The following is a 25,151-nucleotide window of genomic DNA, read 5'->3' on the forward strand; positions in this document are numbered from 1 at the left end:
TATATTAAAATATATAGCATATATATTATATATTAAAATAGATATAGCATATATATTATATATTAAAATAGATATAGCATATATAATATATTAATATATATAGCATATATAATATATATTTCATATATATAGCATATATATTATATATTTAAAAATATATAGCATATATATTATATATTAAAATATATATAGCATATATATATATATTTTTTTTTTTGAGACGGAGCTTTGCTCTTATTGCGCAGGCTGGAGTGCAATGGTGCGATCTTGGCTCATTGCAACCTCTGCCTCTCAGGTTCAAGCGATTCTCCTGCTTCAGCCTCCTAAGTAGCTGGGATTACAAGCACGCGCCACCATGCCCGGCTAATTTTGTATTTTTAGTAGAGATGGGGTTTCACCAGGTTGGTCAGGCTGGTCTTGAACTCCTGACCTCAGGCAATCCACCTGCCTCAGCCTCCCAAAGTGCTGAGATTATAGGCATGAGCCACTGTGCCCGGCCACATATATTTAATTGGAGTCAGGGAAGGAGAGAAGAGAGTGGAGGCAGAAACAATATTTGAAGAGGTAATGGTTGAGAATTTTCCAGAACTCATGAAACACATTAATCTATATATTCAAGAGGTTCAGTGAATCCCAAGCATCACAAATAACAAGAAATACACTTCCAAGCACACATGGTAAGAAAACAGAGAACTAAAATCTAAGAAAAATCTTAGCAACCAGAAAAAAAAGGACCAATTAACTTCAAAGAGGCAATAGTCAATTGACAGCTGACTTTTTACAGACAACGATAGAAGTCAGAGCCTTGAAATAATTTTTTTTTTTTTTTTGGAGGGTCAGGGTCTCACTCTGTCACCCAGGCTGGAGTGCAGTGGTGCAATTATGGCTCACTGCAGCCTCAACCTCCCAGTCTCAAGTGATCCTCCCACCTCAGCCTCTTGAGTAGCTGGGACTACATGTGCACGCCATTATGCCTGGCTAATTTTTTAATTTTTTTGTAGAGACAAGGTATCCCTATGTTGCCCAGGCTGGTCTCAAACTCCTGGGCTCAAGCAATTTTCCCTCCTCGGCATCCCAAAGTTCTGAGATTACAGGCATGAGCCACCATGCTGGCTGGAATGGTTTTTAATTGTATTGAAAGAAGATAAACTGCAATAGAAATCCTTGCATCTTCTCTGATTCTATTGCTTCCCTCTTTCACTTCTAAAGACCCTTGCAAATTACTTTGAGCCTACCGGACAATCAAGGTATCCCTATCCCTACCTCAAGATCCTTAACTTAATCATATCTGCAAGGGTAACATATTCACAGATTTCAGGGATCAGAATATGAACATCTATGGTGGGCCATTATTCTACCACACCACCAATCTAGAAAATACTCTCACCTTTAAACGTCAGTGTCTCTTTTCTTCTATAATGCCCCAAGAAAGAAAGTGAATCAGTATTTAAATACTGATTCTTGGAACAGGACAGGACACTTTGCATATTAACTCATATTAACTCATTTAAAGTATCACCAACCTTCAACCTTGGTGAGGTAGATATTATTGCTTGGATTTTAAAGATTCTGAGATTGAATATGAGAGTTGAAAACTTGACTGAGGTCATCTAGCTGATAAAATGTCTGATTAGAAATGGGTACCCAGATCACCAGACTGGCCTCCAGGACTGCAACCATGCTTTTTCCACCATACCAAGTGCAGATTGAGTCTTTTTTATGCAAAAATGCTTGGATTTGAGGGGATTTTGGAATATTTGCATATACATAAATTATCCAGGAGATGGGACCCAAGCCTAAACGAAATTCATTTATGTTTCACATATACCTTATACACACAGCCTGAAGATTATTTCATACAATACTTTTAGTTATTTTGTGCATGAAAAAAAGTTTTGATTGCATTTTTGACTGCGACCTGGCAAATAAGATCAGGTGTGGAATTTTCCACTTGTGGCATCATGTCAGTGCGCAAAAAGTTTCAGATTTTGGAGCATTTCAAATTTTTGGATTAGAGATGCCCAACCTTACAGATGTTGTTTGGGTTATTCTATGAATGATTTCTGGCCAGTTTCTCAGGAAACACGCTCTACTACAGTATATTTTTTAATGAGTGAAAAAGAAATTAAGAATGGAGGGGAAAGTTTCAAACTGGAGAGACATCTTTGAGTAAAGTATCGTGGCTGAATGTTCCTACCTTTATTGACCATGTGACCTGGTTAAATCACTTAGGTTCTATTAGGCCTCAGTCTTCTCTTCTGTAAAATGAGATGTTTAGACCTAAGGACACCTTTCCAGTTCCCTTCCCGTTGGGACATTCTAGGATTCTGAGAGAGAAGCCCCCCTGGCCTCAAGATACCTCCACTCTCTTGGGTGTGCTCTAAGATGACTGCATTCATGTTAGAAGCATCTGAACTACGCCAGAGACAACCTACTGTAGATCTAAGGAAGAAAAAATGAATGGCAATGAATGCGAGAGGAAGGTGGGGGGGAAAGAAGCCCACGAAGATTAGAGATGGAAATGGCAACATAAACAGCATGCAAAGATAACCACTGACGGGTATCTAGCGTTTACGATGCAAATAAAACTCTGCTGGTCTCTGAGGATGCAGAAACAAGACATTGTTTTTGGTCTTAAGCCGTTCACAGAATGCCCGGGGGTTACACTTTGCATTTAAGCACGGACATATAACTTCCACCTTTAAAAGTCCTGGATGTGAGAAAGATAAGAACAACGGATAAATGAAAATATTAACAAAACGTCTGAGTATGCCAGAGGCCACGTGAAAAGACGGTGTGTGGAAACAGGTGGGACCCACTGCTAAGCTGGATGCGCGAGTAGGACAAAAAAATTGGCCCCCACTCCCGGGCCTCACCCAGACACAAAAGAAACGTCCTCTGCCCTCAGAGGCGCAGCCTTTCCTCAGCCAGCAGAGCGGCTGGGCTGCAGAGTCCCCGCCCCCGGCCGGCCCCTGTCGCCCGCGCCTCCCTCCCTCGGGCCTCGGAAGTGACGCAAGCGCCCCCCCACCGCCGCTAGATCCGCTGCTGCTGCCGCGGCGGGCAGACCTGCAGGAGGCGGCGGCGGCGGCGGCGGCCGAGGCTGAAGGAAGATGGCGGACGGCGTGGACCACATAGACATTTACGCGGATGTCGGCGAAGAGTTCAACCAGGTACGTGAGAGCCCAGGTCCCCGCCGCCGACGCGGGCGGCGCTGCGGCCGGGAAGCTGACCCGGGGCCCGCTGCGGCCGCGAGCCGAAGCGACTGCAGAGTGTGCGCCCTTGCCGCCTCTGGGCCGCGCCGCCGACCCCTGGCGTGGCGCCCCCCCGCCCCTCGTTCTACCGCGTCGTTTCACGGGCCGCGGGCGCGGCGAGTCGCCGCGGGGCCCGGAGCGCGGACGCGGGCCGCTGTGCAGCTGCCGCCGGCTCCTCCCTCGCCGGCGCTGCCTCGCTCCCTATTGTTGGCGGCACCCGGCTGGCGCTTCCCGCCGCGCTAGGCCCGGGCGGTGGGGCCGCGTGTAAGCGGCGGAGAGAACTGGCCGCCGCCGCGCCCCCTCCCCCGTCGCTGGTCGGAGGAGGAAGCCCTGGCGGGGCGCGTGCCCGCCGCCGCCGCCCCTTCCCCGCCGCTGCCGCTCGGGCTCCGATTCCTCCCATCGCTCCATTTTGTCTCCCTGCCCGCGCACTGTCGCCTCATGGAAGGCCGCGTTCACGGCCCTTTGTATCCCGCGCGCCCAGTCCCCGGGGCTCTCCTTCTCGGGTTTGCGACAGGTTTCGGCGTGGCGCCTTCCTCCTCCCCTCACACTTTCTGAAGGCGACTGAGGTGCGGGCTCATTTGCAACAAGTCCTTTGACTTTTGGAGCCACAGATAAAAGTCGGTGCGCTGGTCCTGCCTCATTAATCCAGGGCTTGCAGTGCTTTGAAGCCCAGTCGTTGTTGGCCTTTGTGATGAAAATACCTGTGAAGATGAGTGGCCGGGGACCAAAAGGAAGAATTGGAAGCGCGATGGTTGGATGGAACAAAAAGATGTTAGCTCACCCACAGATCTCATAGTGATTAAAATGAAAGAACGTTCACCCCAAATCCTTATGATGTGGTTTAAAAATAAAGAGTTATAGATAAGACCCTATTTTCGAAAACAAAGTGTTAAATCCCCCCACCCCCACCCCCGGGCCCCGTGTTACCTTTTGAAAGGTTGAGCGAAAGTGAGAATGCAAGGTTTTCCTGAACGACGTTGCTTAGAGGTAACGCGGGGCTGTGATGTCTGTTAATGGGCATCCTTGCAAAAGATGTCGTTTGTTGCTAGTGACGTTTAAGGTTTGAACCTGCTGTTCGTATCTACTGCATTTTATGTAGTAACACATTTAAAACAATTAAATTGTGCTTAACTGCAATGTTCCTAAAAGCCTTATTTTTTTGTATTTCCCAGGTCCCTATGAGAAGTTTAATGAAATATTACTGGCTAATGTGGTTTTCCCACCTCCATTAACCATCATATTCGTGACTAGTTGCTCAGGCTTTTTAAAAAACAAGGAAACTCAAGAGATCTTTACTGTTTTATTTTTCAGGAATGACTTTGTGCCTCTGGTTTAAATATTAGAAAACAGAAAAATACCAGTTGGCTTTAAATGTTTGCTATTCAGTTAAAGACTGGATTTGTTTAAATGTAATACATTGTAATCAAAGGTTAAGTTTTTAAATCTTTGTGTTTTTAAAATTGTGCTTATGTTTTAAATAATAATACTTGAGTTGTGTCCATTACAAATCAGATACATTCCTCGAGTGCAACACAGGTTCTAACGCTTATAAGACCTCTAGGAAATTTTTTTCCTTTTATTTATCAAATGAATATAACTGCGTTTAAAAGAGGGCTGTAACTGCAAGGAACAACGATTGAGTGTTCAAGACTGCCTTTATTAGCTTTACTTACAAGATAATACATTGGTTCACCTTTCTATGCACAATAAAAGAAGAATTGGGTCTCAATTTTAGAAGTTAAGCTTTTTTCAGTACCTCTTAATGAAATATTTTTAGGCTTTTGCATACTTAATTTGAGAGGGACATCTCCCTTATCCGGATAGCTGGGTGGATTCTTATCCCTGTGCAGTAGCAAGTGCTGACTGGGCAGGAGGTAAAAAGAGATTAGTTTTGTGGACCCAATGAGGAACTCCTTTTAAATGTAAGTTTTCAATGATTTGTATAAGGTACCTACTGCATTACGTCTAACACAGTTGTATAATTTTACCAGTAAAATCTTTATATGTTTGAATAGATTAATGGCGAGGATAAATAGAGGCATTGTTTTTGCTACTTTGCATATCATTGGCCAATCAATGATTGATTGATTTGTATATCCTTTTACATTACCGCTTCTTGCTGTGGTAGTTTCTGTACCAAAAAAAAAAAAAAGGTCACAAAAGGATAGTTGGTTATTTTCAGAGCTTATCTTGTTTTTAAAAATATGTTACTGTCATTGAAATATTTTTCCAAAATCTTACCAGAATTAGAGGCAACCACAAAATAATTTACAACTGATTTAATCTTTACTAGCTGGCGACCTTATTTCTACTAGTTGCTATAGTAGACTAGAACTCTTGTTTTATTGTCGTTGAGTAAAATACTAAATAGTAGCCAGTTTTGACTTACTTTGGCTTCAAAGCTGTTGTAAACATTAAAAAAAAAATCTTTGTTTTCCAGTGTAAACTGCAGTTCTCATTGGATTTGTATACTTTGAAATTCGGGATAGTCTTTATTTCCATTTTCTACTATTTTTTGTCTGTATCCTGCTGAGTCTTCTATTTTAAATGTCATACTTTTATGAAGCTTTTTTGTATTTTGGTAAGGCACAGTATTATTTCAAAAAGTGATTTGCATCTATTGAAGTAGAAAAAAGTGAGGCATTCAACAGTCTTAGCAGAAACTAATTTGGGGATAGATTGAGAATAATAAATTAGTGAAGCTCTAATAGAGTGCCTTTCTTCACCAGGTGAACTTAAGAATGGAGAATGAAGGGGGGAGGAGGCACAAGGGACTGGCTACTCCTTATGGGTTCTCTTTAGTTCTTAGAGGTCTTTGGATGTCACCAAGCTGAGAACAGCTGGAAGGGGAATTTGAACATCTTCCAAACCTCTCTATTACTTGAAGTTGAGAAGAAAGTGATTCTGTCTCACAGTAGCATATCAATTCAGTTTAAACTGCATTTATACTCAAGTGTAGTAATTACTAGCCCAATATTTAGTAATTGTAGATTTTAAAATTCTGGCCAAAACTAAATAATTTAAAAGTTGAATTGTTTAGCGCGAGTGTGGTGGCTCATGCCTGTAATCCCAGCACTTTGGGAGGCCAAGGTGGGCAGATCGCTTGAGGTCAGGAGTTGCAGACCAGCCTGGCCAACATGGTGAAACCCCATCTCTATCAAAATACAAAAATTGGCCGAGTATGGTGGTGCCTGCCTGTAATCCCAGCTAATCAGTAAGCTAAGCAGGAGAATCGCTTGAACCTGGGAGGCAGAGGTTGCAGTGAGCCAAGATCGGGCCACTGCACTCCAGCAAGACCCTGTCTCAAAAAAAAAAGATTGAATTGTTCAAAATACATTTGTTGAGTGTCTGTTATGTGCCAACAACGAGGGATACAAAGTTTAGGTAGTCTCTACCCTTAGAGTACACTGTAGGGGAGCTGAGAGATACCTACATACAGTAGTGCACACGTATCCACAGTTCCACTTTCTGTGGTTTCAGTTACCCGTGGTTCTGAGGTCTGAAAATATTACATACAATAAGGTAGTTTGAGAGATACTATATTTAGCTAACTTTTATGACAGTAAACTGTTCTACAATCATGTGTCGCTTCACGATGGCGGTATGTTCTGAGAAGTCCATCTTAGGTGCTTTTGTCATTTGTGATCATAGAGTGCTTTTGCATTTCAAACCTGGAAGGTACAGCCTACTACACATGTAGGCTATATGGTGTAGCCTGTTGCTCCTAGGCTACAAACTTGTACAACATATTACTGTACTGAATACTGTAGGCAGTTGTAACACAGTGGTATTTGTGTATCTAATATATCTAAACAGAAAAGGTAAGTGAAAATCTTGATATAAAAGATAAAAAGTGGCACACTTGTGTAGGGCACTCATGAAAGGAACCTGCATGATTGGAAGTTGCTCTGGGAGAGTCAGCAAGTGAGTGGTGGGTGAATGTGAAGATCTGGGACATGCTGCTGTAGACTTCATAAACACTGTACAGTACACTCAGGCTACACTAAATTTATTTAAACTTTTTTCTTCAATAATACATGAGCTTACTGTAATGTTTTCACTTGATTGATTATTTTCTCACTGTCATCCAGTCTGGAGTGCGGTGGTGCAGTTGTGGCTCACTGCAGCCTTTATCTCCCAGGCTCAAGCAGTCCTCCTGTCTTAGTCTCCAGAGCAGCTGAGACTACAGGCATGTGCCACCATGCCTGGCTAATTTCAAATTTTTTTTGTAGGGATGAGGTCCCAGCTAGTCTCCAGCTCCTGGGCTCAAGCTGTCTTCTTGCTTTGACCTACCAGTGTTGGGATTACAGGCGTGAGCCACTGTGACTGGCCCGTTTTTACTTTATAAATTTGGACTCTTCAATAATAACAGTTTAAAATACAAACACATTGTGTAACTATATAAAATATTTTCTTTATATCCTTATACTGTAAACTTACTTCTTTTTTTTGTTTTGTTTTGTTTTGAGATGGAGTCTCGCTTTGTCACCCAGGCTGAAGTGCAGTGGCGCGATCTTGGCTCACCGCAACCTCTGCCTCCTGGGTTCAAGCAGTTCTCCTGCCTCAGCTGGGATTACAGGCACTCACCACCATGCCTGCCTAATTATTGTATTTTTAGTAAGAGACGAGGTTTCACATGTTGGCCAGGCTGGTCTCGAACTCGTGACCTCAAGTGATCCTCTTGCCTTGGCTTCCCAAAGCGCTGGGATTACAGGCATGAGTCACCACACTGGGCCTAAACTTTTTTCTATTAAATTTTTTTTTTTAACTTTTAAAATTAATTTTATTTTAGAAGAGACAAGGTCTTACTGTGTTGCACAGGTCTCAAACTCCTGGCCTCATGTGATCCTCTTGCCTCAGCCTCCCAAAGGAGGCTGGAATTACAGGCATGAACGACTGAACCTGGTCTTTTTTTTTTTAAGCTTTTTTTAAAAACTAAGATATACACACATTAACCTAGGCCTGCACAGGGTCAGGATTATCAATATCACTGTCTTCCATCTCTGCATCTTGTCCCACTGGAAAGGTCTTCAGGGGCAGTATGATGCATGGGCTGTCATCTCCTAGGATAACTGCCTTCTTCTGTAATACGTGGTGAAGGACTGACTTGCCTGAGGCTGTTTTACAGTTAACTTTTTGAAGTAGGAAGAGTACACTCTAACATAATGATTAAAAGTATGGTATAGTTGGCCTTGGTGTGGTGGTTCACACCTGTAATCCCAGTGCTTTGAGAGCCTGAGGCGGCAGATTGCTTGAGGCCAGGAGTTCGAGACCAGCTTGGCCAACATGTCGAAACTCCGTCTCTATTTAAAAAAAAAAAAAAAAAAGTGTAAAAACAAAAAAGTATAGTATAATAAATACATAAACCAGTAACACAGTCGCTTATTGTCAAGTATTGTGTACTGTACATAATTGTATGTGCTATTCTTTTATATGACTGAGAGCACAGTAGGTTTGTTCACACCAGCATTACGAGCCCAAACGTGAGGAATGCATTGGGCTAAGATCGCTAAACAATAGTAATTTTTCAGCTCCATTATAATCTGACCACCTGGACCAAAACATTGTCATGCATGACTAAATTGTTCTCTTTTATTAGTTATTTTTTACAGTGCCTACTTTATAAATTAAACTTTATCGTAGGTATATATAAAGAAAAACATAGTATATTTAGGGTTCCTTGCTTTCCGTGGCTTTAGGCATCCACTGGGGGTCTTGGAACATATCCCTCTCAGATAAGAGGGGACTACTATAATTATAGCACACTGACAGGTCCTATATTGTAGTTACCATTCTTTTATGTTTTATGTGTAAAGTTTTGTTGATCTGGAGAGGAAAGTCAAAAAAATTCTGTGAACTTTAGGGAAACTTACACTGCTTGCATTGAAGTAGTATGTTTTGTTGCTTGTTTGGGAGTCAGAAACTCTTAATGTGGAATTTAGTTTCTGCTCTGTCAGGCCATCACCGATAGCACAAATTTAGTAATCTGACCACCCAGCTTTAAAATGGAAGTGTAGGCCAGGTGCGGTGGCTCATGCCTATAATTCCAGCAGTTTGGGAGGCTGAAGTAGGCGGATCACTTGAGGTCAGGAGTTTGAGACCTGCCTGGCCAACATGGCGAAACCCCTGTCTCTACTAAAAATACAAAATTTAGCCAGGTATGATAGTGCACACCTGTAATTCCAGCTACTTCAGAGGCTGAGGCAGGAGAATTGCTTGAACCTGGGGGGCAGAGGCTGCAGTGAGCTGAGATCAGGCCACTGTACTCCAGCCTGAGTGACAGAACGAGACTTTGTCACACACAAAAATAGATTAATTACTTTTAAAAGAATGGAGGTGTATAGAGGCAGTAGTTGGAACAAAGAATTCACTTAGGAGTTACGGACCTGGACATCCGATAAGTCAGTTTTTATGTCATGAATCATTTTGCTTTACGTTCAGTCATTATGTATGTATTCTAGCCAATTGTTGAGCCAATTAATGAAAATAAATTTCTTGGACAAATATCAGAGAAACATTGTTTATGATTTATTTATGTTTACTAGAAAACCATCTGAAATAAAGCTGTCAGGTTGAGAATGAGCTAGGTAGAATTGATTCAGAAAAATGGATAGAAATGTTCAGGGAAGCTAGAACTCTTCTCTATTTTGTTATTTATGGGTGCAGTTAATTTAGTTGCCTGTGAATTGTCCACTATGGTTTATGTGGCATATTTTTAGTACCAAATTCCTTACCATTATATAAGGAAGGGATTTTTACAGGGATTACTAGCCAGTTTTAATAACTACTGAGAACATAATTAGATAAAACCAGAAAATGATATATTTTCTTTAAAAATGTATGCATTAGGTTATCTGCTATTGGATTTTGCATACTAGTATTTCTTTTCCGAGGTATAGGATATATTTTGTAAATGCAAAATGTAACTTCCCCCCTTCATATATTTCTCTAAATGGAAATAATTTAAAATAGGCTTTGAAACAAGTGGCCTTTGCTGTGCATTTACTGATAGTATCATATAATGCACGAATTTTGTATGTATTTATGTATTTTTATGGTAGAGATGGGATCTTCCTAAGTTGCCCAGGCTGGTCTTAGACTCCTGGGCTCAAGGGATCCTCTTGCCTTGGCCTCCCAAAGTGGTGGGATTAACAGGCATGAACCACCATGCCTAGCCTCGAATGATATTACTGTAATTTTAGAACCATCAAAAAAATATCAGGCCTGTCAGGGAGAATGATGAATATTTTGACAGCCAACAAGTTCATCCCAATAGTGGTATACAGTATGTATCGTATATCTGTGATATTAAAATTGTAAGAGGGGTAATTAGGGAAAAAATGTCTAAAAGTAACTTCTTGAAGGGAGGGAGGAGACAGGGATAATGAAAAGGTTGAGAAGCCATACTTTAAGGGAACTAATAGGATTTTGGTCATTTTGCCATCCATTTTCTCTGGCTTGGCAACAGATATTTGTATATCATGTGGAGCATAATCTTGTTGTGTAAAATGTTGAGAGAATACCTTGTCTAAAGAATGATTGTAGTGATTTAGAATGGTAGGGAATGAAAAAAATTAGTGAGTTTTTTTTTTTTTTAAACAAACCCTAAGAGCTGTTGTTTATTCCAAGCTTTATGTAACATAGCTGGCTAGCTACTATGAACAGCAGATAAGATTGGGCAACATTTGGTATCAAAGATAATTAGAGGAATGATGTTGATATTTTCTTGTTTTTTGAATGCCATTAAAATTAAAAGTAATAATTGAAAAGACCCTTCATGTAATAAAAAATGATACCGTGAAATATTTCTTTGACAAACTGGAAACCTTTTTTTTAGTCTGTTCAGTAGGCTCACAGAGCTTTATTTATATATGACCTGTGATATACATTTTGCATAATTTCTCATGCAAACATCATGCATATTTTCTCACTTTATGAAGTAAGAACAAAGTTCAGTATGTTCTGTATTTTTTTTTACGCTGGAGGATTGATGTGATATGAAGCTGATTAAAAGGAAGGTTACTGATAACTACAAAAGAGTGTGCTTTGAGTTTCATTTTTAGTAATGGCAGCAAATGTATTCAGATTCATTATGTTTTTTCACAAAGTTTAAATGTATACCATTGGGGCTAAGTGTACAGGCTGTGGCCTTGGAACAGAGAGAAGCTAACTAGTCCACATGGAGATCAAACCCCAGGACCATGGTCTTAATTAGGATCGTACTACAACCACTTGGAAGCAGTACAACTACCAGACAAAATGGCTGATCCTAAATATTGGTAGAATCATATCAATGTGGAAAATTGGTTTGTGTCAACATAGGAATTCATGGATGGACAAAAATAGTAAGTGATTGTGATATACCAGGTTAGTGTAGCTGCAATTATGCTTGTAAATTTTTTGTCTACTTATGTAAACATTTTCACAGGTTTGTAGCTAATAGAAGAAAACAAAGAATCTGTTCACCTATTTATGTAAGTGAAAGTGTAAATTTAAAAATACATTTAGTCCTGCTGTTAATAACCCTTCCATTCTTTTTTACTTTCCCTCAGACCATATATTGTGATTATAGTTTCTGCTGAGGAGGATGGAAACTCAACTCCCTTTGAATAATATTAGTAATTCTACTTGATGTTCAGAACCGGATTGCAAGAGAGTTTAAAGTGCCCAACACCCCTTGTGGGAAACTTTTTAGTATCTTAAGTGCATGGAACTACTGCTGCAGCCACACCGCCTGAAGCTTCAGCCACACTGAAACTTCATAACAAAACTTACCCTCTTTTTTCCTAATTTCTGTGGTCATTGCAATTTGAGCATGTTACTTTGTTTAACAAAAACTCATTTCTTAAAGATTATTTTAGTATTGCTGTACAAACAGAATAAAATTATGGCATTATTCAGTGACTTGTGGTCTTAGTTTCTGCCCTTTGTTAAATTTAGCTTTGTTCTCTGATTTAACCTTGAGATCCCAGACCCCTTATTAAATAAGTCTTATAGACATTCTACCTCGTAACAAGTAAAATTGGTATGTAAAGATTCTGTAACTAGTAAATTGGATAAGTCATTAATTACATAAACGATTACCTGATGATTACTTGAGGTCCCTTTATTTAGGAATATAAATGATATTTCCCCTACTAGGCTTTTTTCTTTTTCTTTTAAAAAGATCTTATTCTCGGCCGGGTGTGGTGGCTCACACCTGTAATCCCAGCACTTTGGGAGGCCGAGGCGGGCGGATCACGAGGTCAGGAGATCAAGACCATCCTGGCTAACCCATCCTGCCTAACACGGTGAAACCCCATCTCTACAAAAAATACAAGAAATTAGCTGGGCAAGGTAGCGGGCGCCTGTAGTCCCAGCTACTCGGGGGGGGGGGGGGGGGCTGAGGCAGGAGAATGGCGTGAACCCAGGAGGCGGAGCTTGCAGTGAGCCGAGATTGCGCCACTGCACTCCAGCCTGGGCGACAGAGCAAGACTCCGTCTCAAAAAAATAAATAAATAAAAATTAAAATTAAAAAAATACAAAATAAATAAAAGATCTTATTCTGGCTCTCCTTTAAATAGCAAAACAGTAGCCTGGGCCCATAATATCTTGTTGCTCTGTTTACCATCATATAACAAATGCTTTTCTCTGGGTCATTCTATCCATTTAGGGACTATTTTGGCTAATAGTCCCTAAAACCATTAGCTCCTCCATATGTGCCATTTGTATAATTCTTTAGTAAATTGTATTAATGGGAGAATCTGTAAGTTACGTCTGAACTTTCAGGTTGTCTTATAATTGTCTTTTTCCTTATGTCAGATGTTCTATGTCATAAGAATAAAATGGTTCACACCAATACAAGTACTTAGTTGTGGAAAGGGAGAGTAGAAGATAAAAATGGAGATTTTCCTGTGCTACAGGCTTAGTCAAGCTTATGGTCTATTTAATGGTTATCAAAGGCAATTAAATAGTGTTGAGTGTTCTGCTTTTACCTACATTTCATTTTTCATGTACTTAGTTACAAATTGAACCCTCTTCTATTTTTTTCCTGCTCCTGTTTCTGTTTCATTTTAGTTTTCCTTTTCCCTGATTATCATTTAGGCATGTAAGTGACACCCAGTAGCATTGCTTTAATTCTGCTGGTGACAGTGCCAAAGCTTTACTATACTCTTTTTGTTGTCTGTTGCTTTTCTCTTGCTAATTTGCTTGACTAGATAACTAAGAATTCAGGTAAGCATTAGCTCTTTGTTCACTGAGAATAATACAACTTGCAAGATAATTAATTTGGATTGTTCTACATGTATTTCGTTTATTTCTCTTTACCTTGTTCATTTATTACGACATTTTGAATTATTTACATACCCATATTTCTTCTTTCTTTTATGGCTCAGCTCACTATGCTTTTTTTTAATACTGGTAGCTTCCTCAAGGTTGGAAAACAAGATCTGAATACTATAGAAAATAATAACTATTTTTCTGTGGTCATATTAAAGATATAATGGCTTTGGATTTTGGGGTGATTTTTCTACTGTCAGTTTAAAAAAAACTTGTCTATTTGCATTTGTGTGTTATTACTTCTAGTTAAGAGTATTTCCAAGGAAAGTTTCATGTTACTTATTTTGTTTCCATGTCTTTTTCCAAAAGAACTTATTTTTTATATTATAATAAATATCAGTGGAAAAGTAGGTTTCGTTATATAGAAATTAACTTTAGGCTGGGTGCAGTGGCTCAAGCCTATATTTGGGAGGCCGAGGCAGGAGGATTGCTTGAACTCAGGAGTTCGAAACTAGCGTGGGCAATGTAGCGAGACCTGGTCTCTACAAAAAAAAAAAAAAAAAGAAAAAAAAGAAAAGAAATAAAGGAAACCCCCTTTTTTTGTTTTTTTGTTTTTTTTTGAGATGAAGTCTTGCTCTGTCGCCCAGGCTGGAGTGCAATGGCACGATCTTGGCTCACTACAACCTCCGCCTCCCAGGTTCAAGCGATTCTCCTGCCTCAGCCTCCTGAGTAACTGGGATTACAGGCGTGTGCCACCATGCCTGGCTAATTTTTGTATGTTTAGTAGAGACAGGGCTTCATCATGTTGGCTAGGCTGGTCTCGAACTCCTGACCTCAAGTGATCCACCTGCCTCGGCCTCCCAAGTGCTGGGATTACAGGTGTGAGCCACCACTCCCGGCAAGAAATTCACTTTTTAGACCTGTTCAAGAATACATCTATTGCATAAAGTGGAAAAAGATTTGTACTGAAATCCTTGGCCTTTTTCCATCAGATTTTTAAAACAAAAAGTTGAATTTGTATTCAAGTCTATTTTAGTAGTATTTTGACTTTTGTATAATCTAGAGCATTATTTCTGTATCTCAGGAAGCTGAATATGGTGGGCATGATCAGATAGATTTGTATGACGATGTCATATCTCCATCTGCAAATAATGGAGATGCCCCAGAAGACCGAGATTACATGGATACTCTCCCACCAACTGTTGGTGATGATGTGGGTAAAGGAGCAGCACCAAATGTTGTCTATACATATACTGGAAAGAGAATTGCATTATATATTGGAAATCTAACATGGGTAAGTGAAGTTAATATAAGAATTAAATTATTGGTAATTGATTTTGAACTGCTCTAGTAATTAATGTTTTTCTCCAGATTTTTATAAGTTTGAAGTTACTGTGTTTTTCTATATGTGTTTGCTTGTCCAATGAGGAGGGAAATACAAATATCTTTGCAACATCGTTAATTCGAATTCTTCTAGTTTTGAGTTTTGTGGTCATTCAACTTTTCTTGGTGGAGATACTAGTTAAATATAGTTAAATTAGTTTTGTCTTCAGTTACCTTTTTTATGCTACCACTTTACCTTGCTTCCGATAGCCCAGTTTCACTAAAAATAATGCTCACATGGGGTCTCAAACCAGGATTCAAGTGTAAAAGGAAAGAGACATAGTATCACTCCTGGTTTAAAAATAGTGTCCATTATTTAATTTGTGTTACAAATTTGAGTTTTATTTCTGCCCTTAAATTTGAAATCTGATTTATAGAAGCACTTCTGTGCGTATTATATTTTAATTTGGGTTGTCATGAGACTAAGATTATTGATTTAGAGCTTCATTAAATGCACATATGTATATTTATTTTTTATTAATATTACATCTTAAGTATCATTAAAATAGTCCTATAGAATGTTTGTATTTCTACTTAGTTATATGTATACTTGAAAGTTAAAAACTTGTATATGCAAAAATCAATAAAACTTGGCACCCTTGCATTTCCTTAATAACACTGTATTTTTAAACGTTTTATTTACATTTCTTTTTTTCAGGGGGAGACAGAATTTGCAAAACTCTGTCACCCAGGCTGGAGTGCAGTGGTGTAATCATAGCTCACTGAAGCCTCAAACTCCTGGGCTGAAGTGATTCTCCTGTGTCAGCCTCCAAGTAGCTAGGACCACAGGCATGTGTCACTCTGCCTGGCTAATTAAAAACAAAACAAACACTTTTGTAGAGCTGACTTCTTGCTATATTGCTTCAGGCTGGCCTCAAATTCCTGGCCTCAAGTGATCCTCCTAACCAAGCTCTCAAAGTGCTAGGATTATGGTGCCCAGCCTATTTACATTTCTTTTAAAACTAAATGTAACAGATCTCCCACCACCCAGTCTGAGTATTCTATAAAATTGGAGACAGTAGCAGTGTAGTTATGAAAGTATGGTTGCTAAGTAAGTATTTGGATCTTAGCTCCACCATCTATTATTAGTTTTGTGACCTTGTTAAAGAGTTAAAGCTCTTTAACTTCTATTGTATCATGTGTAAAATGGGTATAATAATAGTGCTTATATGGTTGTTATAAGAGTTAGTTGATACATAAAGTATATGGTAGATATTAAATACATGTTAGTTTTTTCTTATCTGCATTTTAATTCAAAAACAAGATGAAATTCAAAATACTTTCCTTTAATGGGAGGAAGTGAAATTGGTTTTATTCACAATTTAAAATCATAGCAGTTTAAAGCTGTAAGGGACCAGAAACTCTTGAGAGTCAAATCTTATTGTAACCCCAAGGGTATATACCTTCTAGTTTCTGAAATACTTATCAGGGAATGAAGTTAGGTTCCCAGATGGTTTTTGTGCTGTTTAAAAATTGGAGTCTGACTGGCCATAACTAGACTTAGATTTGCACTCAGCATTTATTTTCTCTTTTATGTCTCAAATTTCCCCTTAAAAACTAGACTGGGATAATAAAAATCTTGGTTTTATTTTAATGGTTAATGAGGGGGAAAATATCTTGCAGTGGACAACAGATGAAGACTTAACTGAAGCAGTTCATTCTTTGGGAGTAAATGATATTTTGGAGATAAAATTTTTTGAAAATCGGGCAAATGGCCAGTCAAAGGGGTAAGTTTTTTTTTTCTTTCTTTTTGATTTAGTAGCTAGTGATACAGTTTTTACAAGTTAACTTTCCTTTAAGTTAATGTTAATTACACATGTATACACATGTATACAAACAACACATGATTGTTTACATTGGAAGGAGGTTCTTGGGCAAAGATTGATACTTTTCATTTTACGTACCCTATTACCTAACACACTAAAACCAGTAGAGTGGAAATGTGGACAGATTTATTTTCTATTTTTCCCAAGTTTTCTCTATCTGTGGTTGAAATGGTTGTTGAAATGACAGTTTAAGAACCATTACTCTCCCTGTGATTAAGAGATGGGAGAAGATGGGCAACTGAATAATGTGTTACATGGATATTTTGCTTTATTTCACTACTAAACTATACAAGTGGGATAGCCTCAGCATGAGAACATTATAAATACAGATATCTAAAAGTAAGAAAATAAAATACCACTGTCCTACCATTCATTGATGTTTACTTTTAACATTTTAGTGAAGATTCTTTTGGGCTTTTTCCTAAAAATAAATAAATAAATAAATAATGGAATTATAATTCATGTGTTTTATATGTTTGATATAAGGAATAAAAATAAATACACATCCTCTCTAATGTCTAATTCTTTTGCATCATACCTGGTATGCTACTGTAATTTACCTTTCTTATTTTTGGTTATCGTGGTGGTTTCCACTTTTGCCTATTGTAAATAATGTTGCAGCAGACATCATTTTATATAAGTCTTTTGGTACAGATTTTGGATTTTCTTTTAAGGATAAATTGTTAGATGCACAATGATAAAGAATTTTCTTATTTCTTATATTGCTTACTTATCTTAGAAGATTATACCAATTTATACTAAACTGAGAATATTTTCAAAATATATGCAGAGTCTGAATACTTCTCACTAACTTTACTTATACCACTTGGTCAAAGCCACTATCATCTCTCACTTAAACTTTGGCAGTAGCTTCCTAACTGGAAGTATAGACTGCCCCCTACAGTCTGTACTCCACATAACAGAAGTTCTAAAAAAAAAATGACATTCTGCTCAATCTTCTCATGGTTTCCTGTCTGTCTCATTCTTTACCATTGTCTACAAGGTACTTTCTGGTCTGTTTTCCCACCACCTTTCTAACCCTATCCTACCACTCTTTTTCAGCCACATTAGTCTCTTTGCTGTTGGCCAGACCAATTCCTACCTAGGACCTTTAGCTGTTTTCTCTTCTTGGTTTACTTTTCCCCCTCAAATATCCACATGGCTTACTCTTTGACTTCATTCAGGACTCAAACTGTTTAAGAGTTTTCTTCCATGACCATCTTGTGCAAAGTAGCACCTTCCTATCCTGTTTCCTTTATTTCTGCTCTGATATATTTTACTCGTTTGTTGTCTCCTCTTCCAAGCCTTTAAGCTTAATGAGAACAGAGATTTTGTTTTGTTCTCTATTACTTCTCCAGCTCTAGAATGGTACCTTGCGTATAAGAAGTGGTGCTTAATAAATATTTGTTAAATTAATTTAGTTTTTTCTAAATGTTGTGACCCAAGATAATCCTGGTGCAAACAGCAGAACTTGTTGACTAAAATAAGAAGGATAATTTAAAAGATCATATTGAACATTAGGGGGAAAAGAGCTTAAGCTTCTTAAGCTACTAAGACCCTCCCTCCCTCAAATAATTTAGAATATCCTGTAACTATACGAATTGGTAATCATTCTGATTATTTTAAATTTGTTTTTCTTTTTGAGGTATAATTCATATGCCATAAAATGCAGGCTTTTAAATGTACAATTCAATGATAATTTATTATATTTATGAAGTTTAGCAACCATTACCACTGTCTCATTCCAGAACATTTCATCACTCCAAGAAGGAACCTTGTACCTGGTTAGCAGTCACTCCCATTTCCTCTCTTCCTATCTGCTGGCAACTGCTAACGTGCTCTGGATATGCCTGTTCTGGACATTTCATCTAAATGGAATCATAAAATACGTAGTCCTATGTGACTGGCTTTTTTCCTTAGCATAATGATTTTAAGGTTCATCCATGTTGAAGCATGCATCAGCATTTCTTTTTATGGCTGAGTAATATTCCACTACATGGATATAGCACTTTTTTCTTTTAATCTATCAGTCGATGGACGTCTAGGTTATTTCCACTTTTGGCTATTAAGGAAAATGCCCCTGTGAATATTTGTGTACCCATTTTGTGTGAACATGTATTTTCAGTTCTGTTGGATGTGTACCTAGGAATGGAATTACTGGGTTAATATAGTAACTCTATGTTTAAATGTTTGAGGAATTACCAGATTATTTGCCAGAGGCATTGTGCCATTTTATTAATACGTGCTCATCAGCAATGTGCAATGGTTCCAGTTTCTCCACATATTTATTTATTTATTTATTTATTGAGACAGAGTCTCACTCTGTCACCCAGGCTGGAGTGCAGTGGCGCAATCTTGGCTCATTGCAACTTCTGCCTCCCAGGTTCAAGCGATTCTCCTGTCTCAGCCTCCCAGCGTGGGACTACAGGCACACGCCACCATGCCTGGCTAATTTTTGAATTTTTAGTAGAGACGGGGTTTCACCATGTTGGTCAGGCTGGTCTTGAACTCCTGACCTCATGATCCTCCTGCCTTGGCCTCCCAAAGTGCTGAGATTATAGGCGTGAGCCACTGCACCCGGCCTCTCCACATCTTTAATACTTGTCTTTTTGATTATAGCCACCCTAGTGGGTATGGGGTGGTATCTTGTGGTTTTGATTTGCACTTCCCCAATAGTTAATGATATTGTACATCTTTTTATTGTAGCAAAAAGTGGAAGCAACCCAAATGTCCATGAACTGATGGATACATTTCTTTTAATGTTGTATATTTATAATGGAAAATTATTCACCCATAAAAGTAAGTGGTGATGCATGCTGTAACAGTGGATGAAGCTTGAAAACATGCTAGTTAAAGAAGGCTGGTCACAAGGGACCTCCTATTGTATGATTCCATTTAGATGAAATGTCTAGGATAGGCCAGTCCAGAGACAGAAATTAGGTTTAGTGGTTCCATAGGGTACAGGGATGGGAAGGAATGGGAGCGATGGCTAATGGATATGGAGTTTCTTTTTGGGGTGATGAAAATGTTTTAAAATTGATTATGGTGGTGGTTATAACACTGTGAAATACTAAAAACCACTGAATTATATATTTTGAATGACTGAATTCTATGGTATGTTATACAAGATGAACAAAAATGTGTACTCGTATAGTTAAGAAATATTTTTAGTTTTTAAAATTATTTATTTTTAGAGACAGGATCTCACTGTGTTGCCCAGGCTGGAGTGCAGTAGTGTGATTATAGGTTACTGTAGCCTCAAACTCCTGGGCTCAAGCAATCCTCGTGCCTCAACCTTCTAAGCAGCTGGGATTACAGGCATGAGCCACTGTGCCCAGCTGTTGTTTTAGATAAAAGCAGATTAAGACCTTTTTACAGAAGAATAACAGTAATAATATTGATCTCTTTTTACTTTGTATCCTCACCCCTTAAACACTTTTTAGGTTTGCCCTTGTTGGTGTTGGATCTGAAGCATCTTCAAAAAAGTTAATGGATCTGTTACCTAAAAGAGAACTTCATGGTCAGAATCCTGTTGTAACTCCATGCAATAAACAGTTCCTGAGTCAATTTGAAATGCAGTCCAGGAAAAGTAAGCAGTCCTCAGAGGCTTTTATTAAAATATGTACATTTTAACCAGTGCATTTGTTAGGTGTTATACTAGAGAAGTCATCTTAATACTAGCTCACTAGGAACTCCATTTCACAAAGTCCATGCTTTGAATTAGATTTAATCACTGGTTATGACTGTGGGCCTGTGTACGAGAAACCTACTCCTGTTCCATTTTTCTCCAGATGTAACAGACCCAATACTATACAACAATGTGCAAGTTCTATAGCCCTGCCATTCTTGTCCTATTATTTCCATCTTAGATACAGAAAGAAACTACATTCTAATTCTTAGATTAAAGGAGAGCTATGTGGATGTGTATTATGGTGGGGGAGAGATCACTGATAACCAGAAAATGTTCATTGATTTTTCTGCTTGGCAACAAGACCTTTCACCACTTGGTAAACTGAATATAGAAAAGATTTGTCATTATACATTTAAGTACATTATCTTTAAAGAGATGAGATGGATGATTATGTAATTAACAGAAATTCAAGTGGTTCCTTTTCTTTTAATGTTTTAGCACTTAAGACTTAACTGAAGAAGTGTGTTACAAAATTTAAATGATGTAATACTGAAATTAAGATATCTGTTGAAGAATTTCGGTCTTGGCTGCTGCAGAGTGCTGGTATTTTGAAAGTAACTCACGATTACCTATGGAAAATATATTTAAACCTGGATATTTTGAGTCTTTAAAAGTACCCAAATAGATGTGAATGTTTTCCTAAACCATACTTTCTTATGTAGTTTGCATAGGCACAAGGCATTTGCAAGTTAATATATTAGAAATAGAGTTGTTTTTAATAATAGTGGTTACATTTCAGAAAACTATTTTTAATAAGTGCTATTTATGAGTATTTGGATATTTGCAGCTACACAATCAGGACAAATGTCTGGGGAAGGTAAAGCTGGTCCTCCAGGAGGCAGTTCCCGTGCAGCATTTCCACAAGGTGGTAGAGGACGGGGCCGTTTTCCAGGGGCTGTTCCTGGTGGGGACAGATTTCCTGGGCCAGCAGGACCAGGAGGGCCACCCCCACCTTTTCCAGGTAAAACTTTTCTTAAATTACCATGGATAAAACATGTCTACCTAATACCTCTTTTCCTTTTCTCTCTTTTTCAAGTAATGCATTATTAATGTGACTTACTCTCCTTGTTATGCTATTTTTGGAATCCAGGAAATTTGATCAAGCATCTTGTTAAAGGAACTCGGCCTTTGTTCCTGGAAACTAGGATTCCATGGCATATGGGGCACAGCATAGAGGAAATACCCATTTTTGGCCTAAAAGGTCTTTATTTTTCTCCAAACTTGCTTGACTTATATATAGAATATTTACATCCGTCTTACTTTCTTACCTCTTAAAAAAATCCTTTCAAGATCATTTTTCCTTGTTTCACTTTCTAGCTTGGCATCAGAGTAGAATATAAGGTGGGTGATTTCACTGTAAGAAGTGTGTGTACACGGAAAGATGGAAAATATCTCTAGGCATTGTAATATTTTTTTATTAAAGTTTTCGTTTCAATAATTTTTCTTAAGCATAAATTGAGCTAGTTAAATTTGTAAGGATATACTTCATTGTAGTTGGTAGTGTAACATTTACCATACGGGTTTAATTTAAAGACAAAGACTTGGTGTATGCTCTATGCGTTTAAAGTATAATCTTGGCATATAAAAGTTAAAATATCTTATTAGTGAAGTGTTTTTTTTTCTCTCTTTCTCCTTTGTTTTTTAGCTGGACAGACTCCACCACGTCCACCCTTAGGTCCTCCAGGCCCACCTGGTCCACCAGGTCCTCCACCTCCTGGTCAGGTTCTGCCTCCTCCTCTAGCTGGGCCTCCTAATCGAGGAGATCGCCCTCCACCACCAGTTCTTTTTCCTGGACAACCTTTTGGGCAGCCTCCATTGGGTCCACTTCCTCCTGGCCCTCCACCTCCAGTTCCAGGCTACGGCCCCCCTCCTGGCCCACCACCTCCACAACAGGGACCACCTCCACCTCCAGGCCCCTTTCCACCTCGTCCACCCGGTCCACTTGGGCCACCCCTTACACTAGCTCCTCCTCCGCATCTTCCTGGACCACCTCCAGGTGCCCCACCGCCAGCTCCGCATGTGAACCCAGCTTTCTTTCCTCCACCAACTAACAGTGGCATGCCTACATCAGATAGCCGAGGTCCACCACCAACAGATCCATATGGGCGACCTCCACCATATGATAGGGGTGACTATGGCCCCCCTGGAAGGTAAGTTAGTGTGTATCTGTGAAAGTACTTGATGATAAAAGATAGGAACAATGACTGTAAATATTAGATTGTAGGTATATAAATATGTTATTTCTGCCTTCCAAGAAGATGAGGTGTTTAAGCTGCTACCCTGTTTTAGCTGAAAGATACTGGTATAGGAGAATTTTTAGATTTGTTCTCTTTGTTGGAAAAGTAGCATGCTTCAATATGGAAAAGTAACTACTATCTCTAAAGCACATGTCAGAAGCAGCTAGTATGAATTGCTATACACTGTTGTGACTAACTGAGGAAATCTGTTGAGTATGAGTTAAGGTTTATGTTTTTGTTTTACAGGGAAATGGATACTGCAAGAACGCCATTGAGTGAAGCTGAATTTGAAGAAATCATGAATAGAAATAGGGCAATCTCAAGCAGTGCTATTTCGAGAGCTGTGTCTGATGCCAGTGCTGGTTTGTGTATTTCTTGTATTAATATTTCTTATTTATGTTATTAGGAATGACCTAAAAATGTAAGTACAATCTAGAAGATAGGTCATTTACATGTAGTAGTTCTTTTTATATTCCCAAATCATTACCTACGATTTATTTAAAAAGCATTGAAAAAAGTTGTGTGTCACAGTGTAGTGGGGAAAATCCAAATTTTAAGTTATTTGGTATAGATTTAAGTCTTACCCTTGACATTTAATGGTTCAGGGGCCTCATGACACCTTATTTATTCTTATATTTGCAAAATGATAATGTGCTTCACACACGTATAATAAGTTGAGTCAATATCATGAGCATGAAAGGCTTTTGCAAATGGTGAAACACTGAAAGAAGACATTGTCTTGCATAGTTATTTTATAGCACAGTACTTTTGTAAAATGCCTTATCACTCTTATCCCAAGTGGTTTGATGGTGTTTTGAAAACAAAATTTGTTTGACTTCAAACCCTTTCCTTTCCCTCACAGGTGATTATGGGAGTGCTATTGAGACACTGGTAACTGCAATTTCTTTAATTAAACAATCCAAAGTATCTGCTGATGATCGTTGCAAAGTTCTTATTAGTTCTTTGCAAGATTGCCTTCATGGAATTGAGTCCAAGTCTTATGGTTCTGGATCAAGGTAAAACTTTCCTGTCTCATTTCCATTTAAAAAAACTGTTAGTTTACAAATGGAAAAAATACTGTGAGACTTTAAAAGGAGGACTTTGCTTTTACTTACTGATTATTTAGCAGCTGGAGTGGTTTTTTTTTTTAACTCTAAATGTTAGTTGCTTGCTTAAAACCCTTTAAAGGCTCCTACTCAGTCTTAAAGCAAGACTGTAAAGATTGAGGGACTGTGTGATAAAGCCCCTGCCTATCTTTTTAGCCTCATTTTGTACCTCTCCCCTTACTCACTGTTCTCCAGTGAGTATTTCTCCATATTTCTCCTTTTCTTTAGGTACACCAAATGTTTGACCACCTCACTTTATATTCCTTCTGCTGGGAGCAGTTTTCCCTGTCTCTTCACATAGCTGGCTCCTTATTCTTCACGTCTCATTCTAACTTCTTAGGGTGGGGCTTCTCCCAAGTTAGTCTGTCGTATTGTTCTTTTTATTTCTTCCATAGTACTTACCATAATCAATTCTTACTTGTTATAAGGCATATTTTTCCTCATTAGAACACATGTTGAATGATGGCAGGGGATTTATCTATCCTGCTTACTATATTTCTTTTCTTTTAAGAGATGGGTCTTGTTAAGTTACCCAGGCTGGTCCTGAACTCCTGGGCTCAAGTAATCCTCTCAGCTTGGCCTCCCAAAGTGTTGGGATGATAGGCATGAGCCAGTGTGCTCAGCCATGCTCGTTATAATATTTCTAATGCCTACAGAGTGTGTGGTACAGAATGAGTGCTAAATAAAAATTTCTCGAATGAGGGAGTGACTGAATGAATGAATGATCTATCTTTTAGGTAGTTCCTTTTTTTTTCTTTTTAGCATTGCTGCTAACTTTGAAATTTTATATATTTTTGAAAGGCAGACCTAATCTTCACTTGGTATTCTTAGATATGTCTTTAGTGTACTCTATCTGGTAGTAATCTGTAAGAGAAAAGAGCTTGCCTTTGACATGGTCCCCAGTTTTGTAATTATTACCTTTTTGACCCGGTGTAAGAATCTTTGTGTCTAAACAAATTTGTCATAGATATAGTTATCTTGTATCATCTTTTTAAGTTTTGAAGTCCAAAGTAATAATTTTTTAATCCCAACACTTTGGGAGACCAAGGCAGGAGGATCACGTGAGCCCCAGGAGTTTGAGACCAGCCTTGGCCACATAAGGAGTTTTTCTACAAAAAAATTTTAAAAATATCTGGGCCTGGTGGTGCATGCCTATAGTCCCAGCTACTTGGGAGGCTGTGGTGGGAGGGTTGCTTGAGCCTCAGAGGTCGAGGATGAAATGAACTGTGATCATGTCCCTGCACTCCAGCCTGGGTGACAGAGAGAGAGAGAGAGACCCTATCTTGAAAAAACAAAGTAATAACTTAGGCCTTGATCAAGGATTTTAGCACCTAATGTTTGCTAAGCTTAGCTGTCTGGTGCAGAAATACAAGACATAAATATTATTTCGTAGACAGTTA

At 38.7% G+C, this 25,151-nt stretch overlaps 1 protein-coding gene across 5 annotated transcripts in view, besides 9 other annotated features; it reads left to right on the plus strand.

Annotated features, from left to right (window-relative positions):
• Nucleotides 2,856–3,355: a silencer, noted in NCBI's record as "silent region_4651". NCBI's record gives its function as "represses an Ori minimal core promoter by ATAC-STARR-seq in GM12878 lymphoblastoid cells {active_cell/tissue: GM12878}" and the evidence as "EXISTENCE:reporter gene assay evidence [ECO:0000049][PMID:35858748]".
• Nucleotides 2,856–3,769: a biological region, named in NCBI's record as "NANOG-H3K27ac hESC enhancer GRCh37_chr12:69633505-69634085".
• CPSF6 (cleavage and polyadenylation specific factor 6) overlaps nucleotides 3,033–25,151 on the plus strand; it is a 34,790-nt gene continuing 12,671 nt past the window's right edge. For 3 of the 5 annotated variants that reach the window (XM_005268588.4, NM_001300947.2, XM_047428132.1), the window contains exons 1-9: nucleotides 3,033–3,170; nucleotides 14,593–14,802; nucleotides 16,515–16,618; nucleotides 20,161–20,306; nucleotides 21,196–21,369; nucleotides 21,499–21,609; nucleotides 22,054–22,558; nucleotides 22,892–23,007; nucleotides 23,508–23,661. In XM_005268588.4, the coding sequence (XP_005268645.1) occupies nucleotides 3,111–3,170; nucleotides 14,593–14,802; nucleotides 16,515–16,618; nucleotides 20,161–20,306; nucleotides 21,196–21,369; nucleotides 21,499–21,609; nucleotides 22,054–22,558; nucleotides 22,892–23,007; nucleotides 23,508–23,661 (1,580 nt within the window). In that variant the 5' untranslated portion in view covers nucleotides 3,033–3,110. The remainder of the gene's footprint in view (nucleotides 3,171–14,592; nucleotides 14,803–16,514; nucleotides 16,619–20,160; nucleotides 20,307–21,195; nucleotides 21,370–21,498; nucleotides 21,610–22,053; nucleotides 22,559–22,891; nucleotides 23,008–23,507; nucleotides 23,662–25,151) is intronic. The other 2 variants (XM_005268590.4, NM_007007.3) reach the window with 1 other exon arrangement.
• Nucleotides 3,189–3,769: an enhancer, noted in NCBI's record as "NANOG-H3K27ac hESC enhancer chr12:69633505-69634085 (GRCh37/hg19 assembly coordinates)". NCBI's record gives its function as "activates a minimal SCP1, AML or CMV promoter by ChIP-STARR-seq in primed H9 embryonic stem cells {active_cell/tissue: H9 hESC(primed)}" and the evidence as "EXISTENCE:reporter gene assay evidence [ECO:0000049][PMID:30033119]".
• Nucleotides 3,506–3,725: a silencer, noted in NCBI's record as "silent region_4652". NCBI's record gives its function as "represses an Ori minimal core promoter by ATAC-STARR-seq in GM12878 lymphoblastoid cells {active_cell/tissue: GM12878}" and the evidence as "EXISTENCE:reporter gene assay evidence [ECO:0000049][PMID:35858748]".
• Nucleotides 3,770–4,349: an enhancer, noted in NCBI's record as "NANOG-H3K27ac hESC enhancer chr12:69634086-69634665 (GRCh37/hg19 assembly coordinates)". NCBI's record gives its function as "activates a minimal SCP1, AML or CMV promoter by ChIP-STARR-seq in naive H9 embryonic stem cells {active_cell/tissue: H9 hESC(naive)}" and the evidence as "EXISTENCE:reporter gene assay evidence [ECO:0000049][PMID:30033119]".
• Nucleotides 7,253–7,547: an enhancer, noted in NCBI's record as "tiled region #12312; K562 Activating DNase matched - State 5:Enh". NCBI's record gives its function as "activates a minimal TATA promoter and a strong SV40 promoter by Sharpr-MPRA in K562 cells {active_cell/tissue: K562}" and the evidence as "EXISTENCE:reporter gene assay evidence [ECO:0000049][PMID:27701403]".
• Nucleotides 9,235–9,734: an enhancer, noted in NCBI's record as "H3K4me1 hESC enhancer chr12:69639551-69640050 (GRCh37/hg19 assembly coordinates)". NCBI's record gives its function as "activates a minimal SCP1, AML or CMV promoter by ChIP-STARR-seq in naive H9 embryonic stem cells {active_cell/tissue: H9 hESC(naive)}" and the evidence as "EXISTENCE:reporter gene assay evidence [ECO:0000049][PMID:30033119]".
• Nucleotides 16,239–16,439: a silencer, noted in NCBI's record as "peak1783 fragment used in MPRA reporter construct". NCBI's record gives its function as "represses an SCP1 promoter by STARR-seq MPRAs in K562 erythroleukemia cells {active_cell/tissue: K562}" and the evidence as "EXISTENCE:reporter gene assay evidence [ECO:0000049][PMID:32103011]".
• Nucleotides 17,515–17,564: an enhancer, noted in NCBI's record as "active region_6648". NCBI's record gives its function as "activates an Ori minimal core promoter by ATAC-STARR-seq in GM12878 lymphoblastoid cells {active_cell/tissue: GM12878}" and the evidence as "EXISTENCE:reporter gene assay evidence [ECO:0000049][PMID:35858748]".

Source organism: Homo sapiens, chromosome 12 (genome assembly GCF_000001405.40).
Source record: "Homo sapiens chromosome 12, GRCh38.p14 Primary Assembly".
Lineage (NCBI taxonomy): Eukaryota > Metazoa > Chordata > Mammalia > Primates > Hominidae > Homo > Homo sapiens.